Source organism: Homo sapiens, chromosome 16 (assembly GCF_000001405.40).
Source record: "Homo sapiens chromosome 16, GRCh38.p14 Primary Assembly".
Taxonomy (NCBI): Eukaryota; Metazoa; Chordata; class Mammalia; order Primates; family Hominidae; genus Homo; species Homo sapiens.
In genome coordinates this window covers 4,517,272-4,530,865 of record NC_000016.10, presented here as the reverse complement: position 1 = coordinate 4,530,865, position 13,594 = coordinate 4,517,272, and the positions used below count along the sequence as shown (strand labels likewise).

General features: G+C 50.1%; 1 protein-coding gene across 6 annotated transcripts in view, besides 3 other annotated features; it reads left to right on the top strand.

The window, feature by feature from the left end:
- CDIP1 (cell death inducing p53 target 1) overlaps positions 1-13,594 on the top strand; it is a 28,105-nt gene that overhangs the window by 7,908 nt on the left and 6,603 nt on the right. For 2 of the 6 annotated variants that reach the window (XM_047434044.1, XM_047434043.1), the window contains exon 2: positions 6,814-6,966. The exons of the other annotated variants lie outside the window; for them this stretch is intronic. The gene's annotated coding sequence lies outside the window, so the exon portion shown is untranslated. The remainder of the gene's footprint in view (positions 1-6,813; positions 6,967-13,594) is intronic. 6 annotated transcript variants of the gene reach the window in all.
- Positions 483-1,134: an enhancer, noted in NCBI's record as "H3K27ac-H3K4me1 hESC enhancer chr16:4579733-4580384 (GRCh37/hg19 assembly coordinates)". NCBI's record gives its function as "activates a minimal SCP1, AML or CMV promoter by ChIP-STARR-seq in primed H9 embryonic stem cells {active_cell/tissue: H9 hESC(primed)}" and the evidence as "EXISTENCE:reporter gene assay evidence [ECO:0000049][PMID:30033119]".
- Positions 1,135-1,787: an enhancer, noted in NCBI's record as "NANOG-H3K27ac-H3K4me1 hESC enhancer chr16:4579080-4579732 (GRCh37/hg19 assembly coordinates)". NCBI's record gives its function as "activates a minimal SCP1, AML or CMV promoter by ChIP-STARR-seq in naive and primed H9 embryonic stem cells {active_cell/tissue: H9 hESC(naive and primed)}" and the evidence as "EXISTENCE:reporter gene assay evidence [ECO:0000049][PMID:30033119]".
- Positions 8,094-8,958: an enhancer, noted in NCBI's record as "H3K27ac-H3K4me1 hESC enhancer chr16:4571909-4572773 (GRCh37/hg19 assembly coordinates)". NCBI's record gives its function as "activates a minimal SCP1, AML or CMV promoter by ChIP-STARR-seq in naive H9 embryonic stem cells {active_cell/tissue: H9 hESC(naive)}" and the evidence as "EXISTENCE:reporter gene assay evidence [ECO:0000049][PMID:30033119]".

Below are 13,594 nucleotides of genomic sequence, written 5' to 3'. Positions count from 1 at the left end.
TCTATATACTATTTCTTTCTTTTTTTTTGAGGCAGAGTCTTGCTTTGTTGCCCAGGTGGAGTTCAGTGGCGCACTCAGTTCACTGCAGCTTTGAACTCCTGGTCTCAAGTGATCCTCCTGCCTTGACTTCCCAAAGTGCTGAGATTACAGTCCTGAGCCACAGTGCCTGGCCTACTGTATACTATTTCTGTTTTTTTTGTTTTTGTTTTTTTTTTTTGAGATGGAGTCTCACTCTGTCGCCCAGGCTGGAGTGTACTGGCGCAATCTCGGCTCACTGCAAGCTCCACCTCGTGGGTTCAAGTGATTCTCCTGCCTCAGCCTCCCGAGTAGCTGGGATTACAGGCATGTGCCACCACGCCCGGCTAATTTTGTATTTCTAGTAGAGATGGGGTTTCTCCATGTTGGTCGGGCTGGTTTCGAACTCCCGACCTCAAGTGATCCGACTGCCTCAGCCTCCCAAAGTGCTGGGATTACAGGCGTGAGCCACTGCACCCAGTCTATATACTGTTTCATATAATGCAGTGTAAACTACTAATTCAGTTTGTTTCACACCCAACCAATGTAAGTGAATTCTTAGGGTCAGATGCCAACTAAGAGTGATAGAAACTCAGTTAACTAATTTCCATATGCTATATACTGTTGCATCTAATGTAGTGTAAAATACAAATTAGATTCCCACTCTCAGTTCCTAGAGCGCTTTCTTCACCCATCAGAAATGTCTTCAAAATAATTGAAAGAATGCCCTGTAACATGAGAGATCTAAATGTCGCAGGGATGAGCCACTGTCCTCACTGTTCTGAGGGAAAATTGCTGGAGGGGGAGCTTCTGTGTACAGGTATGTATGGTGACTGACACATTTGGAGGAAGAAAGCCTAGAGGTTTGCTTTTCCACATCCCACCCCGACCCACGGAATAGGGGGACTCAGGCAAGACCTGGCCGCGGGCAGAGCCCAGCTCCCTGGCTAAGGACGGCCAGGAGACATTTGTGTCTGAATTAAGACTCTTCCACCTGGGTGGCCGTGAGTGGCCACGTGTCTTGACTGCACTTAACGGCCTGGTGCTTTTTTGTAGGTTGCAGTGGTGTGTCTTGATCTCATCCAACAGACAGCTGGTTGAATAGAGTCAACCCAAGACTGTCCATTTTGTGTCTGCTCAGTACAGGCAGACAGAAGGATTTTTTTTAAGGGCTCCATTTTGAGCACTTAAATGATGGTTCTTTAGGTTCATGCTGTTTCTAAAATTAGTCAGCCTTGTAGTTACCAAGGCCTGCCTGTGGGACAGGTGCAGATGACTTGTTTATTCACTTGTGGTTGAGCTGTGTCTGATTTTTTCCTTTTGCTCTGCATTTCCCCTCCTGTCTGTGCTTCCTTCATTTTCTCTGCTAGCAGGAGAGCATGCAGGAACAAGCTCTTGAGCAGCGTTCTGCCTGGGAGGTAGTTCAGAGTCCTGGCGAGATCACTGGGCGAGTTGGGAGGCCGGGGCTGTGTCCTCAGCATGGGCTCTATCACTCGTTTTTATTATGCATCCAACGGGGACTTTCTTACCAGCCCTCTTTGGTCAGGTGACCTCCTGCTGGGTCTCCTGGCGGGGTCTCCTAGGCTAGCAGGACTGTGAGGTCATTACATTCCAACTTTACAGATCTAAACTTTCCATTTGCCTGGAGTACCGGGAGGTGATCTGGCAGAACTGACTCATTTGACCAAACTCATGGGAGACCTATGGCCATAAGGGGCTGGCTTTGGAGAGGAGGCCACTAACCAGTCCAGGCCTCTGGCTTGCTCTGCAGAGCATTTTCTCCTGTAGGTGAAATTAGATTATAGTCTGAGGTGTGTTTCTGGATTGAGGAGTATGAGGAGTAGTATATATATATTTTTTTGAGATGGAGTTTCGCTCTTGTTGCCCGGCCTGGAGTACAATGATGCGACCTCAGCTTACTGCAACCTCTGCCTCCTGGGTTCAAGTAATTCTTTTGCCTCAGCCTCCCAAGTAGCTGGAATTACAGGCATGCGCCACCACGCCTGGCTAATTTTTGTATTTTTAGTAGAGATGGGGTTTCACCATGTTGGCCAGGCTGGTCTCGAACTCCTGACCTCAGGTGATCTGCGTGCCTCAGCCTCCCAAAGTGCTGGGATTATAGGTGTGAGCCACCGCGGCCAGCCTTTTTTTTTTTTTTTTTTTTTTTGAGACAGGGTTCTTCCCCACTGTTGTCCATGCTAGAGTGCAGCGGTGCAATCATGGCTTACTGCAGCCTCCACCTCCTGGGTTGAGTGTTCCTCCCTCTTCAGCCCCCCAAGTAACTGGGATTATAGGCGTGAGCCACTGTGTCTGACTTATAATGAGCATTTTGAGGAAGGAGTCATGTAAAGGTGCTGCCTACCATTAAAAAACTAGAAACTCCACATCAGTAGAACGTTTCTGTATGTGTACTTACATATAAACAAATCCCCTAAACTCCTACTGCCCAGAAAAACTGTTAATATGTGTTATGGAAGAGTGCAGTGGCTCACGCCTGTAATCCCAGCTCTTAGCGAGGCAGAGGCTGGAGGATAGCTTGAGCTCAGGAGTTCGAGACCTGCCTGGGCAATATATCAGGACGCTGTTCTCCACAAAAAGGAAAAAACAAAGACAAAAAATGTGTTACGTATGTAAATACATCTAAAGAAGAATCACACTGTGCTACTGCTTTTTTATTCTTCACTCACTGCTATATTAAAACCATTTTTCTATGTCAATAAAAATCTATATCATTGGCCAGGCATGGTGGCTCATGCTTGTAATTCCAGCACTTTGAGAGGCCAAGGTGGGCAAAATCACCTGAGGTCAAGAGTTCGACACCAGCCTGGCCAACATGGTGAAACCCCATCTCTACTAAAATACAAAAATTAGCCAGGCTTAGTGGCGGGTGCGTGTAATCCTTGTTATTCAGGAGGCTGAGGCAGAAGAATTACTTGAACCCGGGAGGCGGAGGTCGCAGTGAGCCTAGACTGCACCATTGCATTCCAGCCTGGGCAACAAGAGCGAGACTCCATCTCAAAAAACAAAAACAAAACTATATCATTTTTTAGGGGCTGAATACAGTTACATTATATAGCTAATCACATGCATGTAACCAGTTCCATTTTCTTGAACATCAAGACAGTGGTGCATATAAACATCTTTGCCTGTGAATCTGTGTTCACATGTCCATTTACCTCTAGAACGAATACATTGAAGTGGAATTGAGTCCATAAGAGTGTACAGGTAGCAAGGCTGTCCAGGAAAGTTGTACTGATCCACTATGCTGTGGCCCCGTGCTGTGGACGGAGTGTCACCAAGTGAGAGTGGTTTGCCAGGAGGTTTTACTAAAATTCAGCATGATATAAATTGCACAGTAATTGTCATCATCATAGTTCCTAGAGGCCTTAGTACTTTTAGGTTTAGAACCATTCTTTGAGTCCTGTCTGCCTTTTGATTTTGCTTCTGCTTAAGAGCAACAGTGTCACCGGGTGCGGTGGCACTTGCCTGTAATCGCAGCACTTTGGGAGGCCGAGGCAGGTGGATCACGAGATCATGAGATCAAGACCACCCTGGCTAACACGGTGAAACCCCGTCTCTACTAAAAATACAAAAAATTACCCAGGCGTGTTGGCGGGCGCCTGTAGTCCCAGCTACTCGGGAGGCTGAGGCAGGAGAATGGTGTGAACCCAGGAGGCGGAGCTTGCAGTGAGCCAAGATCCCGCCACTGCACTCCAGCCTGGGCGACAGTGCGAGACTCCGTCTAAAAAAAAAAAAAAAAGTAACAGTGTCTTCTTTTTTCTCGTGTACTTCCTCTCTCAGGCTCCTGTGGCAGGCCTTCAGTGGTGTGCTCTTCACCCATGGCCTCTCCCGTGACTCATCACAATTCTTGATAAGGGGCTGCTCCTACCGCCATATCACAGATGAAAAAAAATCTGAGACTGGAGAGTCAGGTGGCAGGGCAGGGTGGTGGGCGTGGGGCCTGATGCCTGTGCCCCACTCGGTGCAAGATTCTGCCCCTGCAGCTCTGCCTGCGACACAGGGCTCATGCTTCTGTTGGAGGGCGCAGTGGTGTTTGGGGCCATGGGGTTGGGCTGATGTCTTTTTTATTTTATTTTTAATTTTATTTTTATTTTATTTTTTATTTTATTTTTATTTATCTTTTTTTTTTTGAGATGGAGTCTCACTCTGTTGCCCAGGCTGGAGTGTAGTGGCGCGATCTCAGCTCACTGCAAGCTCCGCCTCCCGGGTTTGCACCATTCTCCTGCCTCAGCCTCCTGAGTAGATGGGACTGCAGGCGCCCGCCATCATGCCTGGCTAATTTTTTTGTATTTTTAGTAGAGACAGGTTTTCACCATGTTAGCCAGGATGGCCTCAATCTCCTGATCTGTGATCCGCCTGCCTTGGCCTCCCAAAGTGCTGGGATTACAGGTGTGAGCCACCGTGACCAGCTATTTTTTATATTTTGAGACAGATTCTCAGACTATTGCCCGGGCTGGAGTGCGACGGTGTGATCTCGGCTCACTGCAACCTCCGCCTCCTGGGTTCAAGTAATTCTCCTGCCTCAGCCTCCCGAGTAGCTGGGATTACAGGCGGATGCCATCATGCCCAGCTAATTTTTGTATTTTTTGTACAAACAGAGTTTCACCATGTTGGCCAGCCTGGTCTTGAACTTCTGCCCTCGTGATCCGCCCACCTCTGCCTCCCAAAGTGCCGTAATTACAGGCATGAGCCACCGTGCCTGGCTAGGCTGGTGTCTTATTTCCGCTGAGACTCATCATGGTCGAGGAGGAGCATGTAGGGTTGGGTGGGAGGAGAGCTGGCAGATGGGAAAACCAGATCTGTTTTCTGGTCCTTTCTGTGACTTAAGTTGAGCTTGTTTTGAAGTGTTTAGAATTCCCAAGGCATCAGATACACCCATCTTCAAGTGTAAAAATAAATAAATGGTTCAGAGCCACCCGCGATGTTATCTGAGGGAGGGACTGTCTCGTCCTGCCTCCATCAGGACAATGGGAAATGGGCCATGTTCAGGATTTTCCAGGCCTGCCTGTGCTAGAACTTGGCAGCCGAGGACAACGGTCCCAGAGAAGGGGACACATTGGCAACCTCCCTGAGTCTTGGGAGGGCTCAGCCTCACTAGAGGCTGCTCTGCAACTGAGTGGACCTTTGTGGAGGGCCTCCTCTTTCCTGCTCATCACCCAGCGTTGGGAATAGGGTCCCTCTGGTCAGCTGCGAAAGGCCACAGGGAATCCTGGCCTGGTCCCACATGGACTTGGGTGGCTGGATTAGCCCCAGGTTTGGATAGGGCATGGTGGAGAGGGGAGTGGAGAGGGTTTGGGGCCCAGGAGCAGTCTCACAGCAGGGGCTCCCTTTTGAGCACCTCCTCACTTGGAGCACTTCCTTCATGTCCCTGTGCTGGGCACCTGCATCCAAACAGTGCATGCTCTATTAACGTTCACTGCACGCCATCGTCCTCCTCAGCTCCTCCTTGAGCCAGTGCTCATGCTGAAATGAGCACTGGAGTTGCAGAAGAATGTGTCCTCGCTCCAAGGCAACCAGCTGCACTTCTCTCGGGGCCTGTTTTAACTACGGAAGCATCTGCTCCAGCCTTCCCGCCAGGGAGTATTCCCCATGCCTTGGCCTCTGTACTGGCTGAGGCTGTGTCATGTGACCTAAAGAAAGCCATGATCCTTTTGATCATGGATCACTTGAAGAGAACTTGTGTTCCTTCAGACCTAAGGAACTGTAGAGATATATTTTTGTGGTGGAGGGGGGATAGAGTCTCACTCTGTTGCCCAGGCTAGAGTGCATTGGCGTGACATAGCTCTTTGTAGCCTAGAATCCCTGGGCTAGAACAATCCTCCCGCCTCAGCCTCCCAAGTAGCTGGGACCACAGGTGTCTATCACCATACCTGGCTAATTTTATTTTTTTGTAGAGATGGGATCTTGTTATGTTGCCCAGGCTGGTCTTGAACTCCTAGCTTTAAGCAGTCCTCCCACCTTGGCATCCAAAGTGCTGGAATTACAGGTGTGAGCCACTGCACCTGTCTGTGCTGTATATTTGTAATGACACTTGTTAATACTTAACCTGAAAATAATTTACCAATAATTAACCAGTAAACCAAGTTTTATTACTCATGTGGAAGATGTGGGAGGTGGTCAGTTAGTTGCTGGTGTGGTGTCCCATGGCTGTCCTAGGCACTGGCCTCCATCCCAAGGCCCTCATGGTGAAGCACAGCTACTGGAGCCATGGCATCTATCTTCCAGGTGGTAGATGGGAGGAAGGCAGGAAAGATGAAGGGCCTGGCTCCGGGCTGAGTCGGCTTGCCCTGAATGCCTTCTTATGGTCTGGACACTTCTGCTTACAGCTCATTAGCCAAAGCTTTGTCACTCTAAGAAAGCTCGGGGACCCTCTTGGTTGATGGACTTGCCCTGAGTGAAAGTGGAGTTCTGTATTCAAGAATGGGGGAGAGAGTGGATTTGGGTGCAGCTGGCAATCTCCAGTCTGTACTTCATTAGGCGGAACATTGCTGTTTGAGATCTTGTTATTCTGCCTTCTTCCTTTGCAGTGTGATGTGGAGGAGCACAGCACAGCTCTGTATGGGTGGTGGTATCTGCGTAGTAATTCATGGAAGGCGTCTCCAGCAATACAGCCTGGACATCTACATGTGGGATTTTGTTCAGCCTTCCAAGAACCTCATTTTGCACGTGGGGAAACTGAGGCTCAGAGAGGTTGAGGAATTTGTCTAGGGCTGCAGGCCATCAGCGGCGAGGCAGGGTCCCAGGGAGACCTGTGCTCTCCCAATATTCTATTGACAGTCAAGCAAAGAAGACCGCTGTCTTTGTTTCCAAGTGCCACAATGCAACAAGGCTGAATGGTGCCGGAGGTCTCCTGGGGAAGCCTAAAGCCTGAGGAGAAGGGCCTGGGACACTGTCCAGCTGGCCTTGTCATCCTTGTCCTGGAGATCTGAGGTATTTGAGCTCTGGAACAAACCCTGTGGCTGGGTCGCTGTGAGGGCCCCAGGCTGCCATCTGGCCACCCTCAGGGGCACATCCCTCCTTCCTTAGGCCTTGTGTACTCACTGTTCCCTCTGCTGTCCCCATCCCTCCCTTTGCCTGCTGGTCTCATTAACTCTTCCGCCACCTCCTCCCAGGTTTGCTTGAAGAGATGGTGTTAGAGCTCCAGAACGGCGATCTTGCTGTCCTTCTACTGTGCCCTGGACTTTCTCGATACCACTGGTCACAGATGTAATTGTGTTTGTGGTTTTTTGGCGAGGGGGGTGATTATTTAACGCTCATCCTCTTCACTTGACCGTAAGCTTCTGGAAGGCAGGGACATGTCTTTTTTTTTCTTTCTTTGAGATGGAGTCCCGCTCTGTCGCCAGGTTAGAGTGCAGTGGCGCGATCTTGGCTCACTACAACCTCCGCCTCCTGGGTTCAAGTGATTCTCCTACCTCAGCCTCCTAAGTAGCTGGGATTACAGGCACGTGCCACCACGCCCAGCTAATCTTTGTATTTTTAGTAGAGACGGGGTTTCACCGTGTTGGCCAGGATGGTCTCGATCTCTGGACCTCGTAATCCGCCCTCCTCAGCCTCCCAAAGTGCTGGGATTACAGGCGTGAGCCACTGCGCCCAGCCAGGGACGTGTCTTTAATCCCCAGCCTGTATCTGGCACGGAGGATGTGCTGAGTAACTATCAGAAGGAAGCACCATCCCCCGCCCTCCCCTTAGAGGGCCTCTGTTACGTGGTCACCTCACAGACTGTGCTTCAGCCCAGCCCTGGGGTGCTTGGGAGAATAGGCGGAACAGCTACGTGGTCAGCGGCCATCCCTTGCAAGTAACAGTCCCCCTCCTAATGACCCTCACGCTGCATGGCCCGTTACAGTGGTTCAGTAAGTTTTTATATCCATGCCTTACTTAATTCTCACACCGCCCTCCAAGGTGGGTTTGAACTAATCCGTCTGTGTGTTGGATGGAGATGTCACAGGATGGAAAGGCCTAGTGTGGGCCAAGCCTCCCTGGAAGGGTCCCCTTCAGGCCTGCACCCTTGGTGGGGATTCTGTGCTCTCCTTTTCCCGCTGCCCTGTCCCTGCAGGGTGCTGCTATCTGGACTGAGAGCATCTTCCCTGAGGCCCACGTGAGCTCCTGCTTGCTTCTGGCTCACTTCTTGCTTTGGCCTTTTCCTCCAGACCTGGTTTGGGCCTTGCCATTCTCTTTTCAGACCCAAGAAGCACAGAGAGTGTTTGTCTTTTACCTCGGCTCTGCCCCTCATGGAGCAGTGGGCACCTCCTTTATTCAGCACATGGAAGCTGCAGGCAAGGCAGAAATCGGCCTTTCAGTTTTCCCAGCAAAGCAGAAAGCCCTGTTCCTGGCTGGATGCCTGGGACCTGCCTCCTGGGGACAGAGGAGCCCCTCTGAGGCCAGCTGGCGTCCTGACGCCATGGCTGCCACGTGGGTAAGCACCTCCTGGGGATGCAGCACCAAGCCAGCCCAGCTCTGAGAAATGTGTCTGGGCAGCAGCTGCTGCAGAGCCCCTGCCACCAGGGTGTATTGGTGGAGCATCCTTCCAGGGGCATTGCCAACCTTGGGCACTCCCAGGCAGGCCCCTGGCATTTCCACAGCCCACCAGGAGAGATGGCCCTTGGAGGACTGCTAGTGTCTCTGCCTTCTCAAAGAGTTGTCTCGGGTTACCGTGGAGCAGGTGGCCCAGCTGAGCTGTGCTGTGAGGGAACGCTGCTGAGCTGAGTTCTTAGGGAGGGTTTTGATTGCAAGTCCCTCCAGAATCCGGTAGAGGCATCCCCTTGTAGTCATATTAGTGAACATGCACCAGGACCCCTCGTTGGGAATCAGAAGGCACTCCATGGCAGAGGCGTCAATACCTGTTGTTTTCCTCCCTGTTGGAAGTTGCCTAATAAAGCATAATAATAGCAGTTTCCATTTATTTAGCGTCATTGTGTGCTAGGCCCAGCGTTTCTGCTGCAGGCGTTTCACACACAGTCTCTCTTCAACCTCACTCCCACCCTGAGAGGTAGGCATGATCATCTCTGTTTACAGAGGAAGAAACCGAGGCTCAGCTCGCTCAGCTGGAAAGTGGTGGGTCTTGGGGGTCTGGGTTTGAATTAAGCTGATGCAGAGCGGGCCCCCCCGCCTTTTTTTTTTTTTTTTTTTTTTAATATTGATGACGTCTTGCCATGTTGTCCAGGCTGGTTTCGAACTCCTGGGCTCAAGTAATCCTCCCGTCTCGGCCTCCCCGAGTGCTGGAATTACAGGCCTGAGCCACCACACCTGGCCCAGAGCCCATGTTCTTGACTGCTTGTTTCATTTAAAGCCTTCCACCGGGTGGCAAGCACATCCCTGGGGTGGGGCCTTGCCAGAACAACAAACTCAGGGCCTCCCCAGGAGCGACTCCAAGACTTGCAGGCCACTCTTGATCCTTCTGGTTGTGAAGTCCTGTCCCAGCCCTGCACTTGGCTGATACGCACCCCTTAACTTCTAGTGGGGGTTCCTCTAGCACAGCAGTTCTTGAAATGTGATCTGCAGTCTCCTGGGGGCTTCCTGAGACCACTCGGGGGGCTAGGATCAGAACTGTTTTAATAATAACACGGCCATGATTTGTTACCATGCCTCTTTGTTTGTGATGGCTTTCACATTGATGGTGTAGGAGCAGTGCGGAAACAAGCTGTGGGGCCTGCACTGACTCAAGACTGGCACCACACTGTGCTGGTCTTGTTGTAATTGAGTCTTCACCACCACACACACAGTACACACACACACACACACACACCAGTGTTGCATCAGAAAAAGCAGTAAAAATCAACTTTATTAAGTCCTGACCCATGAGTCCACAGCTTTTTAAGATCCTTTGTGACGAAATGAGGCACACATGAAGTATGTCAAATGGAGTTTGATGCTGTCGTGAGGAAAAGCACACGTGCATTCATTTGAAGTGTGGGCCGAACTAGCTGCCTTTTTCATGGACTCCATCTTCACTTAAAGAACAACTGGCACACACCGTGGTTATTCAGATTTGGATATTTAGCATACACTTTCTTGAAAATGAGCAAAGTGAACTTGCTACTTCAAGGGAAACAACTGACCTTTTATTTTTGTATATGTTGCTGTTTCTATATTTGTTAGTGCTTTGTTGCCAGTGATGAAATTCAAGCTTTCAAATGATGATTAGCGTTAACAATATTTAGTGACTTTAATGACATTGGTAGTGATACCAGCAATGTGATTTAAAAAAATATATATTGTTCAATGAGATGTGTCAACATTGGTAGATCTGCATTACAGGAACCCGTATTTTCAGGTGACCCACACATGATGTTAAGAAATCATGTCTATGTAAAAGACCCATTCCAAATGCAAGGTACACCAATGACTTCTAATGTAACACATTAGAAAAAAACCATTGTTAAGGCTTCCAATTCCTGTGGCAACTAACCCTTAAGAAACTACCACTTGTCGGTCAAGTGCGGTGGCTCACACCTGTAATCCCAGCACTTTGGGAGGCCGAGGCGGGCAGATGACGAGGTCAAGAGATTGAGACCATCCTGGTCAACATGGTGAAACCCCATCTCTACTAAAAATACAAAAATTAGATGGGTGGCATGCCTGTAGTCCCAGCTCCTCAGGAGGCTGAGGCAGGAGAATCGCTTGAACCCGGGAGGCGGAGGCTGCAGTGAGCCAAGATTGCGCCACTGCACTCCAGCCTGGTGATAGAGCGAGACTCTGTCTAAAAAAAAAAAAAACCTACCACTTGTCAAGTCTTGATGTAGTATTAGTCCATTGTGCTTCTCTAACAGAATACCTGAGACTGGGTCATTCATAAAGAAGAGGAATTTATCTCCTTACAGTTCTGGAGGCTGGTGTCTTAGTCTATTTGTGTTGCTATAAATTACCTGAGGCTGAGTAATTTATAAAGAAAAGAGAGTATTTGGTTCCTGGTTCTGCAGGCTTTATAGGATGGCACGGTGCCAACATCTGCTTCTGTTGAGGGCCTCAGGCTGCTTCCATTCATGGTGGAAGGCACGGGGGGTCTCTGTGCAGAGATCACATGGCGAGAGAGGGGGTGAGAAGGGGAGGGGAAGCGCTGGGCTCTTTCTGACAACCAGCAAGGATGCGGGGACTAACAGAGTGAGAAGTCACTCGCTTCTCCTCCACCCCAGGGAGGGCATTTATCTATTCATGAGGAATCCACCTCCCATGTCCCAAACAACTCCCATTAAGCCTCACCATCAGTCATCAAAACTGTGGTGCTTGGGAAGTCCAGGATCAAGGCACTGCCAGCATCTGGCAAGGGCCTTCTTGCTGTGTCATCCCATGGTGGAAGGGCCGCGGGGAGAGGCACCCACAAAAGACTAGCTAATCCTCTTACAAGGAATCCGCTCCCAAGATAGTGATTTGTAGCCAGTCTGTCAGAAGCGCAGGTCGCAAGCTAGGAATTGCGATGATCAGAAGTGGGGGGCAGTCATGGAACTGAGCCCTCAACCTGTGGGATCTGACACGGTAGCATCAGACTTGAATGCCACTAGAAGACGTCCACCTGGTGTCCGCTGCAGAACTGACTGCTTGCTTGTTATTGGGGAGAAACCCCCACATGTTTTGCCACAGAAGTCTTTTCTGTTGATTGTTATGGTGTGAAAGCAGAGGAGAAACAGGTTTTTTCTCCACACCTTCACATGCCACAGAACCCAGAGGGTGTGGAGGGGTAGACTTTGCAGAGGCCTCTGGTCTTCCATAGGAGTGACTTACTATTAAGTTTGTGATTGACTTGTAAAGATTTTCAAACAGGCACCTATTTTGTTTGCAATTAATAAATCCAAGATTTAAAGCAAGAAGGCCAAGAAGCCTCTCTTGGATTTGTCAGGGCTGCAAGTTGACTTCAGTGGGCTCCCCAGACCCCGCAAGTCTCCCCTTCCTCCTCTGTTGGGAACTGGGCAGATCCCCAGGTCTCCTAGCCCCCTCCCTCACCAGCACCTTCCCACAGCAGAGGTGCTGGGGCTGCATTTTCAGATCAGACATTTTCCATTTTGTAGCTTAATTTGAACAGTACTCGTTTTATTGGAAAACTATTTTGCTTCTGATCGTGTGATTGAAAGATTATTCTTGTAGTTTTTATTACACCCTACACAACATGGTTTTGTGGGAATGCATGTTTGATTTTGTATTGGAAGGCACTGGGAGAATGGGTGTTTGAATTCGGGAAATCTTCATGAGCTGTTTTCCAGATCCTCTCCTTGGTAGAGAAGGACCTGCCCTGCAGTCTCTGCTGGGGTTCAGGAAGGCAGCAGGAGGACGCATGTGGATATGGAGGGGTGAGGGGGAGCAGTGAGTAGCAGGCATGGCCCTAGGTGGGGAAGACACGGAGGAGCAACAGGGCCCTGCGGCCCCCGGTGAGGGGCAAAGAGAAGGTGGGCTCTGGTGTGGCCATCGAGCTGGAGGGGAAGCCAGCCCTGTGCAGGTCCAGACCCTTCCCTGTGGCCTGCATTTTCTGTACCCAGGTTGGGTGAACACCAAAGGAGGGCTATGCCCTGTGGGCTTACACCCTATCATCATGGGCAAGGCTGTATGTGGAATTCCAGAAATAGAATTTTTGAGCTCTAGGAGATCATAGGATTATATCTGTTGACTTTGATGAAAAGATGGGCCAGAGAAAGGCAACACCTGCATTCTCAGAGATGGGGTGTGTGTGCACACGTGTGTGTGTGTGTGCTCCCTGCAAGGGACCCAGGCTGGGATCTGCAGGTGCTTCAGTGACTCACCAAGCACAGTGCAGCTTATTTTCCTGGTCTGCTCAGAGCATCCCAGGGCCTGGACCATTCCCCGATGAGCAAGACCACTGCAGACCACAGTGTTGGGCCACTTGGTGGACGGTGGTGCCACCCAGAGGCGCCAGAGAGCATTTTCTGGGAGTCTGGGAGTTTGTAGCAGGGGCTGGCACTTATTCCAACTCAACGTATTGGAGCAGTTTTCCAGACGCAGGTAAAGCCCCATGAAAGGCTGCCCTCTTCTCCCCTGCAGGAGGGCACCTGGCAGGCTAGGAGCAGCCTGGGCAAGGGACCCCAGGACCAGCCCCAAGAGGCACTGCTGCTACTCCCTGTTCTGTTTTTTTTTTTTTTGTTTTTTGAGACAGGGTCTCGCACTGTTGCCCAGGCTAGAGTGCAGTGGCCTGATCATGGCTCACTGTATCCTCTGAGTCTTGGGCTCAGGTGATCCTCCTGCCTCAGCCTCCCCAGTAGCTGGGACTACAGGCATACATTATCATGCCTAATTTAAAAATTTTTCTTTTGTAGAGACAAGAGTCTTGCCATGTTGACCATGCTGGTTTCGAACCCCTGGCCTCAGTTCATCTGCCAGCTTCAGTCTCCCAAAGTGCTGAGATTAGATTACAGGAATAAGTCCCTGCACCTGGCCACTGCTCCCTTTTCTTAACCCTGTGCCATTGGAATTCACTGTGCAGGCAGGAGGGTGGGAGAGTCATGCTGGGGTCCTAGACTTATGCCCCGCCCCATCCTTTTCTAGGCCTCCATGTCTTCTGTGGATAATAAGGCAACTCAGAAGAGGTGTAATTTCTGAACACTTGGAAAGATGTTCT